This window comes from Homo sapiens, chromosome 1 (assembly GCF_000001405.40).
Source record: "Homo sapiens chromosome 1, GRCh38.p14 Primary Assembly".
Lineage (NCBI taxonomy): Eukaryota > Metazoa > Chordata > Mammalia > Primates > Hominidae > Homo > Homo sapiens.
In genome coordinates, this window is record NC_000001.11 from 52,309,958 (window position 1) to 52,332,046 (window position 22,089).

Below are 22,089 nucleotides of genomic sequence, written 5' to 3' on the forward strand. Positions count from 1 at the left end.
GTTCATATATATATGTATTTTTTTGAGACAGAGTCTTGCTCTCGCTCTGTTGCCCAGCTGGAGTACAGTGGTGGTGTGATCTCGGCTCACTGCAACCTCTGCATCCCAGGCTCAGGTGATCTTCCCACCTCAGCCTCCTGAGTAGCTGGGACTACAGGCACACACCATCATGTCCGGCCAAATTTTCTGTTAATAGGGATGAGATTTCCCCTTGTTGCCCAGGCTGGTCTTGAACTCCTGGGCTCAAGCGATCTGCTTGCCTCAGCCTCCCAAAGTGCTTGGATTGCACCATTGCACTGGGCCTCATGTTGTTACAATGAGATTATTTTCACCATTGTATTAACTAATAATAAATATTTAGTATGTACCAGGCACTATTCTAAGCATATATGTATCTTTACACTAACTCTATGACATGAGTATGCTAACTACCTTTTTACAGATGAGGAAATTAAGATACAGAGAACTTAGCTGGGTGCCATAGTGAATGTGTATAGTCCTAGGTACAGGCTGAGGTGGGAGGATCACTTGAACCCAGGAGGTGGAGGCCAGCCTAGGCAACATAGCAAGACCCCATCTCTTAAAAAAGCAAAAAAAGACACATAGAACTTAAGTAACTTGCCCATGATCGTACAGCTAGCAAGTGGTGGAGCTGCCATCAAACCTGGGCTTTCTGATTCTGGTGTCCCTACTCTTAACCACTGCACTGTAGACTTTAGTTTAAATAATTACCAATTTAGTTTTAGGGCTGATGAGTTAAAGTGATTGTATGTGGTTCTATTTACATTTTGTATGTAACCAGATCACTGGCATAGCTAGTACATGCACTTAAATACTGAAGTCTCATGGAACGGTAGAACTAAAATTACCTCTGGGGCATTTCCTAATATGTGACTAGTTTTTTGTTGTTGTTGTCATTGTTTTCTTTTTTGAGACAGGGTCTTGCTGTGTTGCCCAGGCAGGAGTGCAGTGGTGTAATCGTAGCTCACTGGTAGCCTCCTGGGATCAAGGGATTCCCCCACTTCATCCCCTGAAGAAGCTGGGACTACAGGTGTGCACCACTGTGCGCAGCTAATTTTTAAATTTTTTGTAGAGATGAGGTCTTACTGCGTTGCCCAGGTTGGTCTTGAACTCTTGAGCTCAAGCAGTTCTTCTGCCTTGGCCTCCTCAAAGTGCTGAGATTACAAGCATGAGCCACCATGTCTGGCAATGACTGTTATTTAATATGTTTGTTTAAGATCAGAAAAATGATGAGCCATAGTGAAAGAAGAAGAGATGTTAGAATCAAATAGACCTTGGATTGATTTTTTTTTTTTTTTTTTTTGAGATGGAGTTTCACTCTTGTCACCCAGGCTGGAGTGTGGTGGCACGATCTTGGCTCACTGCAACCTTCACCTCCTAGGTTCAAGCGATTCTCCTGCTTCAGCCTCCTGAGTAGCTGGGATTACAAGCGTGCACCACCACGCCCAGCTAATTTTTGTATTTTTGGTAGAGACAGGGTTTCACCATGTTGGCCAGGCTGGTCTCAAACTCCTGACCTTAGGTGTTCTGTCCGCCTCAGCCTCCCAAAGTGCTGGGATTATAGGCGTGAGCCACCACTCCCAGCTGGATTGATGTTTAATTACTAGCTGTATTACCTTAGTGGGTTAATCTCTCTTCTGGAATATGGGTATGCTCATATTGTGAAGTTTTGTGACATTTCAATCACGTGTCAAATAACTAGTGTTGTGTATTAGCCTGGTATACTATAATTGTACATAAATTGTATGCTATTGTTGTTGTGTTCATTTTTATCATTCAGATTAATTGTTCATATGGTTAATTTTTATTTTTATTTATTTATTTTTTTTTTAGATGAAGTCTCACTCCATCGCCCAGGCTGGAGTGCAATAGTACAATCTTGGCTCAGTGCAACTTTCGCTTCCTGGACTCAAGCAGTTCTCCTGCCTCAGCCTCCTGAGTAGCTGAAATTACAGGCAAACGCCACCATGCCCAGCTAATTTTTGTATTTTTAGTAGAGACGGGGTTTTGCTGTGTTGGCCAGGCTGGTCTCGAACTCCTGACCTTAGGTGATCTGTCCACATCAGCCTCCCAAAGAGCTGGGATTACAGACATGAGCCACCACACCTGGCTTCATTTGGTTAACTTATTGAACTTGTGTTACAAACTTCTCATTTTCATGTGCTTGTAGGATGTATCTAACTTCCCAATATAGCTAAATTCCCTTAGGATGTAGAGGACATCTGGGTAAATCTATAAGAAGGTGAAGTGGCGAAGACTCAAAACATCATTTAACAAAATATATATTGAATCTAACTGTAGGTATTTAATATAAGGAAAAGAAGACTATAAAGGAATAGCACAGCATCCACCATTAATATGCATAGGCTCTATTACACTTTGAGACTCATGAGGTTATTTGGTTATAGGATATACTTAACCCTAGGGTTCCCATAAGGATGTGGAACATGAACCATAGCTTGATAGTAGTACAGTGTCAGGCGTTTGTTACCTTTGACAGTCTTTGCAACAACCCATGTAGCATCTAACGTAGCTAATTGGGAGCATCTTTTTGGGCCTTCCTCCAGCCCCAGATAACTGCTCAAATGACAAGATTCACATCAGGCAGGTGTAGGAGCTGTCCTGGCTTAGAAGTCTTATTCCTGACAGCAACCAATATCTCTTGGAAAAACTTCATAGGCATAGATTCCAGGGTGTCTCTAGGGGACTTGCTCTGCTACAAGAGTGACTATTGAAGTAAGACCAAAGTTATGGCTATCTATCAGGGGTGTACGGTTCTCCCTGTTCAAATATAATTTATTATCTTTCACTTTTGCCCATGTTGGAATAGTAAGGATTGATTGTATGGATTGAATTGTGTCCCTCTAAAGTTCATATATTGAAGTTGTAACCTCCCAGTACCTCAGAATATGACTTTATTTGGAGAGAGGGTCTTTACAAAGGTAATCAAGTTTAAATGAAGTCATTAGAGCAGGTCGAAATCCAATATGACTGGTGTCCTTATAAGAAGGGGAAATATGGAAACAGACACACATATAGGGAAGATGATGTGAAGAGACATAGGGAGAAGATGGCCAACTACAAGCCAAGGATAGAGGCCTGGAAACAGATCCTTCTTTCACAGCCCTCAGACGGAACTATCTCTGCTGATGTTGATTTTGGGCTTGATTTTGGACTTCTAGCCTCCAGAAATGTAAGACAATGCATTTCTGTTATTTAAGCCATCCAGCTTGTACTTTGATATAGCTGTGCAAGCATGCTATCACACCAGTCCACCTTAAACAACTAAATATCAAGACAAAGTATGATAAAAACAAAAGATAATGGGCAGAGAAGGTGAGTCTTCTGCTTACCCTATCTTACTGCCTGTAGTTTTCAGGCCATAGAGCGGGTAGGGGAAACCCAAACTGACTTAGAGGTCTCCCTGACTTGAGGAGACAGAGTTGAGAAATATAGAGAGCCTACGATGGTTAGAATTTGCAGGACCGATTGCCAGAAGTGTTTTAAAAATTCAGGAGATCTGGAAAGATTTCTGGAGTCTTAGCTGATTACTTACTAGTCAGTGTGTCTATACGAGGAAAGCACTGCAAAGAAATGGGTAGAACAATTCTCACAGGGCCAGGAATAGTTTGTATTCTTACCAGCCAGAGTGACAAAGGTTCTTGTACTACATGGGCCACATTATGTCTAATGACTCAAATTATGTACAGATTCAAACTGCTCTGATCCTACCTAATAAGCTTTAAAGAAAGCTTGAAAAGGATGAAAGAATGGGCACATTAAGGAGAGCTATGGAAGATATAAAAAAGACCCAAATCAAGCTTTAAGAAATGTAGGTGGCAACGGGATGAAAAGTATGTTGGATGAAATTAAATGCAGTTTAGACAATGCTGAAGAAAAAACTCGTGATCATGAAAACATAACAACAGAAATGATCCAAAATGAAACACAGAGAAAAGGCTGAAAAATTAAATAAACAGCACGTCATCGAGTTGTGGAATGTCAGGCAGCCAAATTCTGTAATTGAAGTACCCAAAGGAGAGAAAAGGTGGTGGACCTAAAAAATATTTGAAGAAACAATGGTTAAAAAATTTCCAAATTTAATGAAAATTATAAACTTACAGATCCAAGAAGCTCAATGAACCCCAATTGCAAGAAACAGGATAAAAACTACATTAAGAAATGTTATGATCATAATCAAATTGTATAAAAATTCACATAAAGAGAACCTTAAAAGCAGCTTGAGGGAAGAAATCTTCCTTATATACTTAGGTATTTTGCAAATACAAAAGTGACAGCATATTTCTCATGAAAACAATGCAAGTTGCAAGACAGTGCAGCAAAATCTTTAAAATGCTGAAAAGAAAAACTGTCATCCTATATTTTATACCCAGTAAAAATACGTTTTAAAAATGAAGGCAGGCTGGGCGCAGTGACTCACACCCATAATCCCAGCACTTTGGAAGGCCAAGATGGGCGGATCACTTGAGGCCAAGAGTTCGAGACCAAACTGGCTAACATGGTGAAAGCCCCATCTCTACTAAAAGTACAAAAGTACGCCAGGTGCTGTGGCTCACGCCTGTAATCCCAGTAGTTTGGGATGCCAAGGCGGGTGGATCATCTGAGCTCAGGAGTTCGAGACCACCTAGGGCAACGTGGTGAAACCTGGTCTCTACTAAAAATAGAAAAAAATTAACCGGGTGTGGTGGCGCGCGCCTCTAGTCCCAGCTACTTGGGAGGCTAAGGCAGGAGAATCACTTGAGGCAAAGGTTGCAGTGAGCCGAGATTGCACCACTGCACTCCAACTTGGACTACAGAGTGAGACCCGGTCTCAAAAAGAAAAAAAAAAGCAAAAACCGCCAGGCGCGGTGGTGGGCGCCTGTAGTCCCAGCTACTCAGGAGGCCGAGGCACGAGAATTGCTTGAAATCTGGGCGGCAGAGGTTGCAGTGAGCTGAGATCGTGCCACTGAGGCAAAGCGTTTTCTCGGATACATATAATTTATCACCAACAGACCTGTTCCACAAGAAATGTAAAGTCCATCAAGGAGAATACCAAATATTGGAAATCTGGATCTACACAAAGGAATGAAAAGTGACAGAAATGATAAATTTATAGGTAAACATAACATCTTTTTAAAAGACAATTAACTGTTTCAAATTAAATGTTTGGCCGGGTGCAGTGGCTCATGCCTGTAATCCCTGCACTTTGAGGGGCTGAGGTGGGAGGATTGCTTGAAGCCAGGAGTTCAAGGACAGCTAGGCAACAAAATGAGACACCATCTTTACAAAAAATACAAAAATTAGCTGGGTATGGTGGCACATACCAGTATTCCTAGCTACTCTCTAGGCTGAGGCAGGAGGATTGCTTGAGCCCAGTGATTGGAGGTTGCAGTGAACTATGATCACACCATTCCACTCCAGCTTGGGCAATGGAATGAGACCCTGTCTCTAAAATAAAATAACATATATTAAATAGTAATGTATTGCGGAATTTATACCATATGTAGAGACAAAAATGTAGAACGGTAACAAAAAGGCCAGGGAAGAGGATATGGAAGTATATGACATGTGATGTGGTATAATTTTACTTAAAAGTTTATTGATAAGTTAAAGATACGTAATATAAACCCAAAAGCAACCACTAAAAAAATCAAAATGGGTAGGTATATCTAATCAACAAAAATAATAAAATGGAATCATAAAAGAAGGCTGAAAAAGATAACAAGAGATGGGACAAATAATAAATAGCAAGATAGTAAATTTAAATCCAGCCATATTAAAAAAAATGACTCAAATATAAATGATCTAAATACCTTCAAGTAAAAGGCAGAGATTGTGAGACTGAATAAGGAAGATTCATCTGTATGTTGTGTAAGAAACATACGTATAAGAAAAACACGGCCGGGGCTGGGCGTGATGGCTCACGCCTGTAATCCCAACACTTTGGGAGGCCGAGGCAGGCAGATCACTTGAGGTCAGGAGTTCGAGACCAGCCTGGCCAACATGGCAAAACCCCGTCTCTACTAAAAATACAAAATTAGCCAGGCATGGTGGTGCATGCTTGTAGTCCCACCTACTCGGGAGGCTGAGGCAGGAGAATCACCTGAACCCAGAAGGCAGAGGTTGCAGTGAGCCGAGATCCTGCCATTGCACTTCAGCCTGGGCAACAAGAGTGAAACTCCATCTCAAAAAAAAAAAAAAAAAAAAAAAAAGAAAAGAAACCACAGCCGGGTGCAGTGGCTGATGCCTGTAATCCCAACACTTTGGAAGGCCAAGGCGGGTGCATCACCTGAGGTCAGGCGTGTGAGACCAGCCTGGCCAACATGGTGAAACCCCGTCTCTAGTAAACACAAAAATTAGCTGGGCTTTGGTGGTGGGTGCCTGTAATCCCAGCTACTCGGGAGGCTGAGGCAGGAGAATTGCTTGAATCTGGGAGGTGGAGGTTGCACTGAGCCGAGATCACGCCACTGCACTCCAGCCTGGGCGACAGAGTGAGACTGGTCTCAAAAAAAAAAAAAAAACTAAATGGGTAGAAAAGATAGCATAGTAATATTAATTAAAGCTGAAATGGCTATATTAATATCTAGGTTATTTCAGAACATATATTACAACCAGGGATAAAGAAATACATACCATATTTATAAAGGGATCAATTTATCAAAATGATACAACAATTTCAAAACATGTATCTAAATAACAGAGCTTCAAAATGCACAGTGAGAGAACTGGTAAAACAAAAGGTTAAATGGAGAAACCCACAATAATATTTGGAGATTTCAATAACCCTGTGTCACTAATTGAAGGAAGTAGTAAATAGAAAATCAGCGGGACTATGGAAAACTTGAAGAACACAGCCAATTTTACTTAATTGATTTTTATAAAATGTTCCGCACAACAGCATCAGAATGCACATTCATTTCCAGTGCACACAGAACATTTACAAAATAGACCATTTTCTGTGGTGTAAAAGAGGTCTCAATAAATGTAAGATGATTCAAATCATACAGAATGTGGTCTGTGACCACACAGCTTTAAATAAGAAACCAATGCCAGAAAGATCTCTAGAAAATTCCCAAATATTTGGAAATAAAGTGTACATTTCCCAATAATCCATGGGTCAAAGAATAAACCAAAAGGAAAATTATAAAATATTTTGAACTGCTTGAAAATGAAAACATGAGATATAAAAATTGGGGATACAGCTAAAACAATGATTAGAGATAAATTTATAGCATTAAACCCTTGTATTAGAAAAAAAGGCCAGGTGCGGTGGCTCATGCCTGTAATCTCAGCACTTTGGGAGGTTGAGGTTGGGGGGATCACTTGAGGTCAGGAGTTTGAGACCAACCTGGCCAACATGGTGAAACCCCACCTCTACTAAAAATACAAAAAAATTATCCGGGCATGATGGTGCGTGTCTGTAATCCCAGGAGGTGGAGGTTGCGGTAACTCGAGATCACGCCATTGCACTCCAGCCTGGGTGACAGAGCAAGACTCTGTCTCAGAAAAAAAAAAAAAAGAAAGAAAAAAAGACATCTCAAATCAATGACCTACTCGTCTACCTTAAGTAATTAGACAACAAAGAGTAAATGAAATACAAAATAGAAGAAATAATAAAGATAAGCAATCCATAAAATAGAAGACAAAAACAATAAAGAAAATTAATGAAACCAAAAGCCAGTTCTTTGAGAAGAGCAATAAAATTGATAAACCTCTAGTTAGACTGATTAGATAGGGAAAGCACAAATTACCTTTTTAGGATGTAAAAGAGGGAAACTATCATTACAGGTCCGATAGACAGTATGAACATGTTTTGGTCAGTGTGCGTTCAACTTAGATAAAATAGGCAAATTATTTGAACAGTAAGTTTTCACAGCTCTCAAGATTAAATAGATAACCTAAATAGCCCTGTATTTATTAAAAGAATTGACTTTATTGTTTAAAACCTTCTCACAAAGAAAAGTCCTAGTTCAGATGGTTTCACTGGTAACTTAACAATGAAGGAAGAAATAACACCATTTCTGTGCAAACACACCAAGAAAATAGAAGAGAAGGAATCTTACTCTATGAGGTCAGCCTTATACTAATAACAAAACCAAAAAAAGACATTACAAAAAATGAAAACTATACATCATACCTCTCATGAAGTTATTTGCATAAATAGTTAACAAATTTTTAGTAAATCCACTCTAACAATACATAAAATAATAATGTATATTATGACTAAACATGGTTTATTTCAGGAATGCTAAGTTGGTTTAACATTCAAAACTCATTCCATAGTTTAGGATACAGGATCCTTTAACAGGATGAAAAAGGAAAACCATATGATACAGCAAAAGCAGTTGACGAAATCCTACTTCCATTCAAGATTAGAGAGAGCATGATTGTATGTGTGTGTGTGTGTGTGTGTGTGTGTGTGTGTGTGTGTGTGTGTATCTTGGCAATCTAAGAAGAGAACTTTCACAAGCTAATGATTATCTATGAAAAATCTATAACATCTCTAATGGTAACAGACTGAGTGCTTCCCCTTTAAGATTGGAAACAAGAACGGGATGTTCACTCCTGTTTTTATTGAGCATTGTAATGGAGCTTCTAGCCCATGTAATAAGGGGAAAAAAAATAAGAGTCATAAAATTATATATATAAAAAAAGACTGTCGGTATTCATGGATAACATGGCTGTCTATGTAGCAAATCCTTATGGAGTCTACAAAATGGCCACTAGATCTACTAAGTGAAGTTAGCAAAGTCGTGAGATTATTGTATAAAAATCAGTAGTATTTTGGTATACTAGCAATGAACAATTGAATATAGAAATTTAATAACGATACAGTAGGCCAGGTGTGGTGGCTCACACCTGTAATTCCAACACTTTGGAGGACAAGGTGAGCTGATTGCTTGAGCCCAGGAGTTCTAGACCAGCCTGGGCAACACGGTGAGAACCTGTCTGTACAAAAAATACAAAAATTAGCCAGGTGTCATGGCACATGCCTGTAGTTCCAGCTACTCAAGAGGCTGAGGTGGGAGGATCACTTGAGCCTAGGAGGCAGAGGTTGCAGTGAGCTGAGATTGTGTCACTGCACTTCACTCTGGGTGACAGAGTGTGACCCTGTCTCAAAGAAAAAACCACAACATCAAAAATATGACATAATTTGGGATAAATTTCTTAAATGATCTGTAATACTTATACACTGAAAACTACAAAATATTGTTACGAGAATTTAAAGACCTAAGTAGAGATATATAATATTTATGGATTGGTAGACTCAGTACTGTTAAGATTGCAGTAGTCCCCAAATTGATCTGTAGCTTCAACACAATCCCAATCAAAATACGAGTAGGCTTTTTTATAAATAAAAATTGGCTGGGCACAGTGGCTCACACCTGTAATCCTAACACTTTGGGAGCCCGATGTGGGCGGATCACATGAGGTCAGGAGTTTGAGACCAGCCTGACCAACATGGTGAAACCCCATCTCTACTAAAAACACAAAATTAGCTGGGCGTGGTGGCGCATACCTATAATCCCAGCTACTCAGGAGGTTGAGGCAGGAGAATCACTTGAACACGGGAGGTGGAGGTTACAGTGAGCCGAGATCGCACCATTGTACTCCAGCCTGGGTAACGAGCAAAACTCCATCTCAAAAAAAAAATAAAATAAAAACAAATAAAAATTGAGGTACTGATCCTGAAATTTATATGGGGATAAAAAGAACCTAGAAGAGCCAAAACAACTTTGAAAAAGAACATAATAGCCAGGCGCAGTGGCTCAGGCCTGTAATCCCAGCACTTGGGGAGGCCAAGGTGGGCAGATCACGAGGTCAGGAGATCGAGACCATCCTGGCCAACATGGTGAAATCCCATCTCTACTAAAAATACAAAAATAAGCTGGGCGTGGTAATGTGTGCCTGTAATCTCAGCTACTTGGGAGGCTGAGGCAGGAGAATCTCTTGAACCCGGGAGGCAGAGGTTGCAGTGAGCTGAGATTGCGCCATTGCACTCCAGCCTGGTGACAGAGAGGGGGAGATTCTGTCTCAAAAAAAAAAAAAAAAGAGAAAAAGAAAATAATTCCAGGACTTCTTAGATGATGTTAAGACCTTTATTTTTTTTGACAGAGGTTCGCTCTTGTTGCCCAGGCTGGAGTGCAATGGTGCAATCTCAGCTCACTGCAACCTCCGCATCCTGGGTTCAAGTGATTCTCCTGCCTCATCCTCCCGAGTACCTGGGATTACAGGCACATGCCACCACGCCCAGCTAATTTTGTATTTTTAGTAGAGACGGGGTTTCTCCATGTTGGCCAGGCTGGTCTCGAACTCCTGACCTCAGGTGATCCACCTACCTCGGCCTCCCAATGTGCTGGGATTACAGGCATTAGCCACCGTGCCCGGCTGTTAAGATGTATTTTAAAAGTAGAGTGATCAAAGCAGTATTGTTTGGGTGTAAATATATATGAATAGACCAATGGAACAGAACAGAGAGTCAAAACATAGATGCTTACAGATGCTCAATAGCTTTTCCGTAAAGATGCCAAGGCAGTTCATTAGCAAAAGGATAATCTTTTGAACAAAAATGGTCTTTATAATTGTATAGCCAGTTGTTTGAAAAAGAAGATGAACCTCAACCTTTACCTCATACCATGTACAAAAATTAATTGGAAATGGTTCATAGATTTATACAGAGTTAAAACTAAAACTTCTGAAAGAAGACATAAGATAAAAATCTTAGTGACCTTTGGCTTGAAGGAGGGTGAGGGAACCATATATTACAAAGGGGCTCAAGGAAATTTTGGGGGGTGATTGCAAGTGCCTTTTTATGAGTATATGCACATGTCAAAATTCATCAAATTGTACACTTTAAATATGTGTAATTCATCAGTTATTTTAAATATAACTGTAAAAGAAAATACATCATTTTTTTTTTCTGGTAATGTAATAGACGTTCAAACTTTGATCAGGTCACTGCAGTGATATAGCCAAAGAGTTAACCTATCGAAGTCTCACACAAAAAGGAACAAGGTTTTGTTAACTCTTTACTCAACACCAAAAAGATAGGAATAGAGAAGTTTATGTTGGTTGTGATACAAGAATCTGTGAAATCATGTATTTGTACAATTCTCCATCTTGTATAGGACAGGCTGAAAAATAGGCTGAATGGCCTCTTGAGATTCTTTCCCACTCTTAAGCTTCTAAAATAGGAGTTTTGGTTTATTTTAATTTGAAACTACACATATTCTTCAGAGAAGTGTGAAATTACAAAAGCATAATTTCATAGGTTCTTTGTAGCACTGGCGAGAACAGATGGCGCTAAAATCTGTTTGAGGAATGTTTGATTCTCTGGCCTTCAAGGAATACATTTCTTTTAGGGAATTAGGAGCTGATAGTCCTCTTCTTAAAGGAATGAAAGGAGTTGGTCAAAGGTCCTCTGGAGAATAGTGCAGAGGAGAGAGATGATGTTCCATTGATTATTGGTATAGCTTTTCCTAGTTTATACATAAAAGACAGTATTTAACAATAGATATGTTCAAATAAAAGAATCCTCAAGAAGAAGCCCATGATACTGTACCTCCACTGACTGCAAGAGGAGGCCACTGCTGAACCCCACATGCCCAGGATAGTACTGTCTTCTCTCTTGTGTACATGCCCATTGACAGGAGTGGTTCTACTACACTGGACTTCTAGTCAAACTCCTGGCTTTCCCTGTCTCCCAGAACTCACAACCTCGCTGCCATATTTGTCCTTGAGACCATCAGCTCTAATCTCATTGTGTTTATGTCAAGCACCACAAGAAGTTCTGGACTCCTAGGGCATCCCTCATTTATCGTAATTTAATTTCTATCTCTGTACACCCTCCTTTCTGACCCCATTTCGTATTCATTTTGGAAAACCCAAGATATTAGTTCTTGTAAGTCTTATTTGCCTCTATACATTTCCTTGGTAATCTTATCCAGTTCTATGGGCTTAAATACTATTTCTAAGCTGACATCTTCCAAATGTTTGTTTTAGCCTAAATCTCTCTGCTGTTTTGTAGACTTGACTGTCTTATTGCCCACTTGACATCTCCACTTGCATACACATTTCAAGCTTAGCAAGTTCACCTTTGACATGGTCATCTTACAGGCTTCTCCATCTAAATTAATGACAGTGCTGTCATCTTTCCAGTTACCCAAGCCCAAAACTTTAGAGTCATCTTTGAATCTTCTTTTCCTCATTCCTTGATAGACAAATCTATCAGGAAATTCTGCTGCCTCTACTTTCTAAATATATCTATAATCCAGCTGCCTCTCAATCCTGGGACCAGTCTGGTCTCTGACCTAGATTTCTGCAGTGGCCTCCTAACTGGTCTTCCTATTAGTACCCTTGTCAGTCTGTTTTTAATGTAGCAGCCTAAGTGGTCTTTTCTTTTTTTTTTTTTTTTTTTTGAGACAGAGTCTCGCTGTGTCGCCCAGTGGAGTGCAATGGCGCGATCTCGGCTCACTGCAACTTCCGCCTCCCGGGTTCAAGCGATTCTTCTTCCTCAGCCTCCCGAGTAGCTGGGACTACAGGTGTGCACCACCATGCCCGGCTAATTTTTGTGTTTTTAGTAGAGACGGGGTTTCACTATATTGGCCAGGCTGGTCTCGAACTCCTGACCTTGTGACCTGCCCGCCTTGGCCTCCCAAAGTATTGGGATTACAGGAGTGAGCCACCATGCCCAGCCTGGTCCTTTCAAAACTAAGTCATATCATATCACTCCTCTGCTTAAAACCTTCCACAGATTTTTCATCCCAATCAGAATGACACAAGTCCTCTACACCATTTGTATTTCTCGACTCATTATCTCTGTGATCTCTTTTTTTCTTTTTTGGAGACAGAGTCTCGCTCTATCGCCCAGGCTGGAGTGCAGTGGCGCGATCTCAGCTCACTGCAAACTCTGCCTCCCAGGTTCACGCCATTCTCCTGCCTCAGCCTCCTGAGTAGCTGGGACTATAGGCGCCTGCCACCGCGCCCAGCTAATTTTTTGTATTTTTAGTAGAGACAGGGTTTCACCGTGTTAGCCAGGATGGTCTTGATCTCCTGACCTCGTGATCCGCCCATCTTGGCCTCCCAAAGTGCTGGGACTACAGGTGTGAGCCACCACGCCCGGCCCTCTGTGACCTCATTTTTTATAACTATTCCTTTTCTGTCACTCAGCTCTGGCCACACTGTCCTCAGTGTTCCTTGAAATTCCAGGGCATGCTACCTTACTGCCCTCCAGGGCCTTGCACGTATCCCCATGCAGTGGGATAAAAGCCTTTGGCTTTTCCCTCACTTTTTTCAGTAAGACATCCTCTGACTCTCCTATTTAAAATTGTACCCACCAATACTCCCAGTCCTCCTTCCATGTTTTATTTTTCTCTGTAGCACTTGTCATTGTATAATAGTTTTATGTATTTTACTTATTTGTTTATTGTTTTTGTCTCCTCCTCCTACACACAAGAATATAAGCTCTGTGAGGGCAGGAATTTGTTTGCTTGTCTACTACTGAATAAAGCAAGCACTAAAACAGTGTCTGGCACGTATTAGATACTCAATGCCCATTGGCTAAATGAATAAGTATTTTCTAAATGAATGAGTGAAGGCAGCCTGGGCACATAGCGTGAGACCTCAGCTCTACAAAATAAAAGTAGGCCAGAGGGCCAGGCACTTTGCCTCATGCCTGTAATCCCAGCACATTGGGAGGCCAAGGAGGGAGGGTCACTTCAGGTCAGGTGTTTGAGAGCAGCCTGGCTATCATGGTGAAACCCATCTCTACCAAAAAATAACAAAAATTAGGCGGGCATGGCAGCACATGCCTATAATCCCAGCTATTCGGGAGGCTGAGGCAGGAGAATCACTCCTGAGGTCCGGAGTTCACAACCACCCTGACTAACGTGGTGAAACCCCGTCTCTACTAAATACAAAAAAAAAAAAAAAAAGCCAGGCGTGATGGCGCATGCCTGTAATTTGAGCTACTTGAGAGGCTGAGACAGGAGAATTGCTTGTACCTGGTTGGCGGAGATTGCAGTGAACTGAGATTGTGCCATTGCACTCCAGCCTGGGCAACAAGAGCAAGACTCAGTCTCAAAAAAAAAAAATAACCACAAAAAAACAAATGAAAATAAAGATAGCTGGGCATAGTGGTACATAGCTATAGTCTGTGTACCTGGGAGGCTGAGGTGGGAGGCTCACTTGAGCCCAAGAGTTGGAGACTGCAGTAAGCTATGATTATGCCACTGCACTCCAGCCGGGGCAACAGAACAAGACCCTGTCTCAAAAACACACACACACACACACACAAAAACAAAAACAAAAACAAAACAAAACAGATTGAATGAAGACTCATAGTTGTCAATATGTAGATTCATAGGACTTGAAGATGGGGTCTAGCCTCTGGACACTAGTGAATTTCAGCTAACTGGAAGGGTACGTATTTACATTTTTCTTAAAATTACTCCAAGAAAGTATATTCTTCCACCTTTTCCATCGTTCTTCAGCTCAGTGTTTCTTTCTCACTTCTAGTTCTGTTCCTCACTTATGCTGTTTCCTCTGTCCAAAATATTCTTTTTATATACCTGATAGCCTTTAGCAAACCTCCCTAGAATTCTCCATCCCCTAGACAGTGTCACTGTTTTTCTCCTCCATTTTCCTGTTGTTCTTTATTTCTGTAACATGCACAGGATGATGGGTGTGAATCCTGTCCTCTGAATTGTGAGCCTCTTGAGGGCAGAGAGTAAGTCTTTCATGCTTCCCTGTATCCTTGTAGTTGTTCACTTTTCATAGATTTTTCACACCTTTGTACTGGATCTTCCTGTCTAAAGCCTTTGTTAATCACTTGATAATGTTTGTAGAACTGAATCACTAAAACTTATTTTATTTGGCCGGGTACAGTGGCTCACGCCTGTCGTTCCAGCACTTTGGGAGGCTGAGGAGGGAGGATCACTTTAGCCCCAAGATTTGAAACCAGCCTTGGCAACATAGTAAGAAAGACCCCATCCATACAAAATTAAAAATAAAAGAATTAGGCTGGGCGTGGTGGCTCACGCCTGTAATCCCAACACTTTGGGAGGCTGAGGCGGGCGGATCATGAGGTCAGGAGATCAAGACCATCCTGGCTAACATGGTGAAACCCTATCTCTACTAAAAATACAAAAAATTAGCTGGATGTGGTGGTGGGCCCCTGTAGTCCCAGCTACTCGGGAGGCTGAGGCAGGAGAATGGTGTGAACCCGGGAGGCAGAGCTTGCAGTGAGGCTGAGGCAGGAGAATGGTGTGAACGTGGGAGGCAGAGCTTGCAGTGAGCCGAGACTGCACCACTGCACTCTAGCCTGGGCGACAGAGCGAGACTCCATCTCTAAAAAATTAAATAAATAAATAAATACATAAAAAATAAAAGAATTAGCCAGGTGTGGTGGCACATACCTGTAGTCCCAACTTCTTGGGAGGTTGAGGTGGGAGGGTCACCTGAGCCCCAGAGGTCAAGGCTGCAGTGAGCAGTGATCATGCCACTGCACCCCAGCCTGAACGAGAAGGCGAGACTGTCTCAAGAAATAAAAACAAAAACAGAAACTTATTTTATTAGATACCCAATCTATGTGACACTAATTACAAGTGAATCAAGATTTAAAAGAAAATCGTGCTAACCACATTAACTCTCAGTATAGTTTTATGACTATTACAAGCCATCCAAATCTATTCCTACTTATTCGGTTTACTAACTAGTATATTCAGCAAGTATTTATGGAGTGCCTGCCATGACAAAGGCCCTATGCTAAGCCTAACACATATACAAATTGTATCCACTCCTCAACACTCTGCTTAAACTCCTCTATAAATCCTTTCCAGTTCAAATCGAAAGGCTAGTCATTTTTTAAACATGAGATCTCAGAGAGGAAATTGGAAGTACATGATGTGTTAACTGAAAGATGGATTAGGTGTTATAACTCTTCACACACTTCTGCAGCATAATCATTCATAGAACTGTGTTCTTTTAATTGGCTCCTGTGATTTTTCCGGGACTCCAAGGGTGGGAAACACCGGGAGGTAAAGCTCGTGCTGTTTCACTTGATGTGCTAAAATGGTTCTTATGAGATAATGCTCCTGTAGCATTTAGCTCAGCTTGCTCAGTGCCTGGTTCATGGTTGGTGCTCTGGAAATGTTACGTACTTTGCACATTCTGTTGTTACAGCAGTTGTTTCTCTGCCTTTTACTGGTATGTCATTCTCAATAATTTGTAAACTTTTAGGAAAGGTCTTTAATTTCATTATCTTATAAGAGGTATAGGAGCTACCTGGTTGAATTATTTGCTGCTGATTTTAAGGTTGCTGTAAGGTTCAGTAGGCAGGGTAGGGAAGATGAGCATACAAATTTTATTTAACAAATTGTTTGTTAAAAGAGTACTTATTATATGTTTGATGCTGTCCTAAGCACTTTGTAAATATTAATTTATCTAACTCTCATAACTCTATGAAATAGTTACTTTTATTATCACATTTTATAGAAGAGGGTCCTGGGACACAGAGAGGTTAAGTAAGTTTACCAAAGACACACAGATAGTTACGAGCAAGGCCAGTATTCAGATACTGTTGGTCGAAGGCCAGGCATGGTGGATCATGCCTGTAATCCCAGCACTTTGGGAGGTCAAGGTGGGTGGATCACCTAAGGTCAGGAGTTCAAGACCAGCTTGACCAACATGGTGAAACCCTGTCTCTACTCAATACCAAAAAAAAAAAAAAAAAAAAATAGCTGGACATGGTGGCACATGCCTGTGCCTGTAATCCCAGCTACTTGAGAGGCTGAGGCAGGAGAATCACTTGAACCCAGGACGTGGAGGCTGCAATGAGCCAAGACTGCACCATTGCACTCCAGCCTGGGCAACAAGAGTGAAACTCCATCTCAAAAACAAACAAGGCCGGGCACAGTGGCTCATGCCTGTAACCCAGCACTTTGGGAGGCTGAGGTGGGTGGATCACCAGGTCAGGAGATAGAGACCATCCTGGCTAACATGGTGAAACCCCATCTCTACTAAAAATACAAAAATTAGCTGGGCATGGTGGCATGCACCTGTAGTCCCAGCTACTCGGGAGGCTGAGGTAGGAGAATCGCTTGAACCCAGGAGGCGAAGTTTGCAGTGAGCCGAGATTGCACCACTACACTCCAGCCTGGTGACAGAGTGAGACTCTGTCTCAAAAATAAACAAACAAAAATACTGTTGGTCTTGCAATTAAGCATTATTCAAGGTTGAATGTGAATGATGGCATATAAAAAGTACAGAGAATGTGCTATGGCATTTCAAAGAAGGTAATGGTCACATTAATGTCTCACTGGGGGTTAAAGAAGTCTTCATGCTGGCCAGGCGCGGTGGCTCACACCTGTAATCCTAGCACTTTGGGAGGCTGAGTCGGGCAGATCACAAGGTCAGGAGTTCGAAACCAGCTTGGCCAATATGGTGAAACCCCATCTGTATTAAAAATACAAAAATTAGTGGGGCGTGGTGGCGTGTGCCTGAAGTCCCAGCTACTCGGGAGGCTGAGGCAGAAGAATTGCTTGAATCCGGGAGGCAAGAGGTTGCAGTGAGCCGAGATGGTGCCACTGCACTCCAGCCTGAGCGACAGAGGGAGACTTGTCTCAGAAAAAAAAAAAGTCTTCATGCTGAAATTGGCATTTTCAGGGGACTACTTTTTCAGGTGCTTGGCCATGGGAGAAGAAAAGGGAAGGTAGGCCGGGCGCGATGGCTCACGCATGTGATCCCATCACTTTGGGAGGCCGAGGTGGGTGGGTCACTTAAGCTCAGGAGTTTGAGACCAGCCTGGCCAAGATGGTCAAACTCCGTCTCTACTAAAAATACAAAGAATTAGCCCGGGTGGTGGCGGGCGCCTGCAGTCCCAGCTACTTGGGATGCTGAGGAAGGAGAATCGCGTGAACTCAGGAGGCAGAGGCCGCAGTGAGCCAGGACCACACCACTGCACTCCAGCCTGGCCAACAGAGCAAGACTCTGTCTCAAAAAGAAAAAAAAAAAAACCCAAAAAGAAAATAGTAATGCAAAGCCTCAGGGATGGGAAATGGTAGGCCATCAGGAAGTAGTCCTACATGTAAGCAGCATGTAAGGATACTGTAGGAGGGAGGCAAGATTTGGGGTTAGAGCATAGGAAGCTTGAGATTCTGAATGGAGGACAAGCTGGAGAAGATGTGACATAGAGCTGTGCTTTGATAAGTACGAAAACATTGTATGTGATGAATCAGAACTGATAGAGATTCACTGTAGGAAAACCAGTTACAAGGTCATTATGTCCAGAAAAGAGGCAATTAGGCCTTGAACTATGGTGAAAATAGGTATAGATACAAGAACATTACAGAATTTGAATTGACAGCAGAATAACACAACCAAAATGGATAGTCAAATATTTATATCATTATATGACTAGTGTAAGTTTGTTTTATGGTCAGTAAGGTCCTTTGAATCTCTTGAAAACTCTGCTCTTGTTGTAACTGAGCATTATCTTAAGAGAAAATATATTCATTTATCTCTAAAGAAATATGAAGTTTCTTTCATTGGACTTGTAATTTACATCCAAGGAAATGATTTCCTTTGAGGCCAGCTAATTTATTCAGAATGTCTGGATTGAAAATGTTTCTTAGTCTGCTTAGTGTAGACAAAATTAGAAACCACTTTAGCCTAATGATTCGGAAGAAATGATTTCTTTAAAATTGTGATCATCTCAGTTTCTTTCATGTGATACAAATGTAAATTGCAAATGAGAACCTAAATGTGTCTGTCAGTTGGCTTTGCTAAGCAGAAATCTTCTAGCTGACTCATCCTATTTACAGAAGAATTATTTCAAAGTAACCTTTGGAAAACCTGGGTAGAAGTGGTTTGGATTAGTGAGGTTGATAAATATCAGTGTAAGAGGAGTATTCAATTATAGTTTGGATACCTCTGGTGCTTTGGAAGAGTTATAATAAAGTAAAGCCAAGAGATGATGATGATGCCTTAGAGTTGTATGGATACAATACCTAGGAGTAAATTTAACCAAGGAAGTAAAAGACTTGTACCCTGAGAACTACAAAACGTTGCTGAAAGTAATTAAAGACCTGTGTAAATGGAAAGATGTTCCATGGATTAGAAGACTTAATATTGTTAAGATGTCAATATTAAAAGTGATCTACAAATGATTCATTGCAAGCCGTATCAAAATTTCAATGGCCTTTTTGCAGCAATGGAAAAGCCAATATTCAAATCATCTGTAATTGCAAGGGGCCCTTAATAGCCCTTCGTGGATGTTCTTGAAAAAAGAAGAACAAAATTGGTGGATTTATACTTCTCAATTTTAAAACTTACCCTTACCTCACATTATATATAAAAACTGACTCAAAACAATCAACCAACAAACTAAATATAAGAGCTAAAACCATAAAGCTATTAGACGAAAACAGTAATCTTTCGTGACCTTGGATTTGGCATTGGATTCTTAGATATGACCCCAAAAGCACAAGCAACAAAAGAAAAAAAATAGATGAATTGGATTTAATAAAAATTAGAAATTTTGTGCATCCAAGGACATTAGCAAGAAAATGAAAAGACAACCTATAAAATGGGAGAAAATATTTTCAGATCATATCTCTCATAAGGGTCTTAAGAATTCTTACATATCGGCCGGGCGCGGTGGCACATGCCTATAATCCCAGCACTTTGGGAGGCCAAGGCTGGCGGATCATGAGGTCAGGAGATCGAGACCATCATGGTTAATACGGTGAAATCCCGTCTCTACTAAAAATACAAAAAATTAGCCGGGCATGGTGGCCAGCACCTGTAATCCCAGCTACTCGGGAGGCTGAGGCAGGAGAATGGCGTGAACCTGGGAGGTGGAGCTTGCAGTGAGCCTAGATCGCGCCACTGCACTCCAGCCTGGGTGACAGAGCGAGACTGTCTCAAAAACAAAACAAAAAAAAATTCTTCCGTGTCAACAGCAAAGACAGCAAGGCAAAGTGGGTATGTGCCTGTAGTTCCAGCTACTTGGAAGGATAAGGTGGGAGGATCAGTGTCAACCTGGATAACATAACATAACATAACATAACATAGCACCATAGTCTCTAAAAAAAAGACAACCCAGTTAAAAAATGGGCAGGCCAGGTGCGATGGCTCACGCCTATAATCCCAGCACTTTGGAAGCCAAGGTGGGCGGACCACTTGAGGTCGGGAGTTCGAGACCAGCCTGACGAACATGGAGAAACCCCATTTCTACTAAAAATACAAAATTAGTGGGTGTGCTGGCACATGCCAGTAATCTCAGCTACTCGGGAGGCTGAGGCAGGAGAATCACTTGAACCTGGGAGCTGGAGGTTGCGGTGAGCTGAGATAGTGTCACTGCACTCCAGCCTGGGCAACAAGAGCGAAACTCCATCTCAAAAAAAGAATGGCTGCTCCATAGGCAGAGCAGTGTCATGGGCTGCCTGACTGAGTATAGTTACGGTATTTCCTGATTATATGCTAAACAAAGGGTTTTCTGGGAAAGGGGTGGGGAATTCCTGGAACTGAGGGTTCCTTCCTTTTTAGATCATATAGGGTAACTTCCTGACATTGCCATGGCATTTGTAAAACTGTCATGCATGGGTGGGAGCGTCATTTAGCATGCTAATGCATTATAATTAGTGATAATGAGCAGTGAGGACCTCCAGTGGTCACTTTCATCACCATCTTGGTTTTGGTGGGTTTTGGCTAGCTTCTTTACAGCATTCTGTTTTTATCAGTGGGGTCTTTGTGACCTGTATCTTGTGCTTTCCTCCTATCCTAAGAATGCCCAACCTCCTGGGATGCAGCCCAGCAGGTTTCAGCCTCATTTTACCCAGCCCCTGTTCAAGATGGAGTCAAACAACTCTGACAGCACTACAACTTTTTTATTTTATTTTTATTTTTTGAGATAGTCTCCCTGTGTTCCCCAGGCTGGAGTGTAGTAGCGCAATCTTGGCTCACTGCAGCCTCCACCTGTTGGGGTAAAGTGATTCTCCTGCCTCAGCCTCCCAAGTAGCTGGAATTACAGGCACCCGCCACCACACCCAGCTCATTTTTTTGTACTTTTAGTAGAGATGGGGTTTTACCATGTTGGCCAGGCTGGTCTCGAACTCCTGACCTCAAGTGGTTCACCCACCTCGGCCTCCTAAAGTGCTGGGATTACAGGTGTGAGCCACCGGGCCTGGCCTGCAACACTACAGCTTATAGGAGGAAGAGGGGAGTAAAACAAAATAAGTTTCCAGTTAGATGTTTAAAGGCTCAATTTTAAAGGATTAGATCAGAAAGTTGGACAAATGGGATGACATGAAGGAAAAAATGGGAAATAAAAACAAATTATCATTAACCCAGAGCTGGGCTAGGTGGCATGTGCCTATATAATCCCAGCCATTCAAGAGGCTGAGGTGGGAGGATCACCTGAGCCAAGGAGCTTGAATCCAGCCTGGACAACATAGTGAGATCCCTGTCTCTTAAAAAAAAAAAAAAAGTGTCGGCCGGGTGCAGTGGCTCACACCTGTAATCCCAGCACTTTGGGAGGCTGAGGTGGGCGGATCACGAGGTCAGGAGATCGAGACCATCCTGGCTAACACGGTGAAACCTTGTCTCTATAAAAATACAAAAAAATTAGCTGGGCGTGGTAGCAGGCACTTGTAGTCCCAGCTACTCGGGAGGCTGAGGCAGGAGAATGGCGTGAACCCAGGAGGCGGAGGTTGCAGTGAGCCAAGATCGAGCCACTGCATTCCAGCTTGGGCAACAGAGAGAGACCCTGTCTCAAAAAAAAAAGGTGTCAAACTCTTTTTTTTTTTTTTATTTTTTTTTGAGACAGAGTCTTGCTCTTTCCTCAGGCTGGAGTGCAGTGGTGCGATCTTGGCTCACTGCAAGCTCCGCCTCCCGGGTTCATGCCATTCGCCTGCCTCAGCCTCCTGAGTAGCTGGGACAACAGGCATCTGCCACCATGCCCAGCTAAATTTTTTTTTATTTTTAGTAGAGACGGGGTTTCACCGTATTAACCATGATGGTCTCGATCTCCTGACCTCGTGATCCGCCTGCCTCGGCCTCCCAAATTGC

General features: G+C 41.8%; 1 protein-coding gene across 4 annotated transcripts in view; it reads left to right on the forward strand.

Moving 5' to 3' along the window:
* ZFYVE9 (zinc finger FYVE-type containing 9) overlaps nucleotides 1–22,089 on the forward strand; it is a 204,546-nt gene that overhangs the window by 167,869 nt on the left and 14,588 nt on the right. The window lies entirely within an intron of this gene.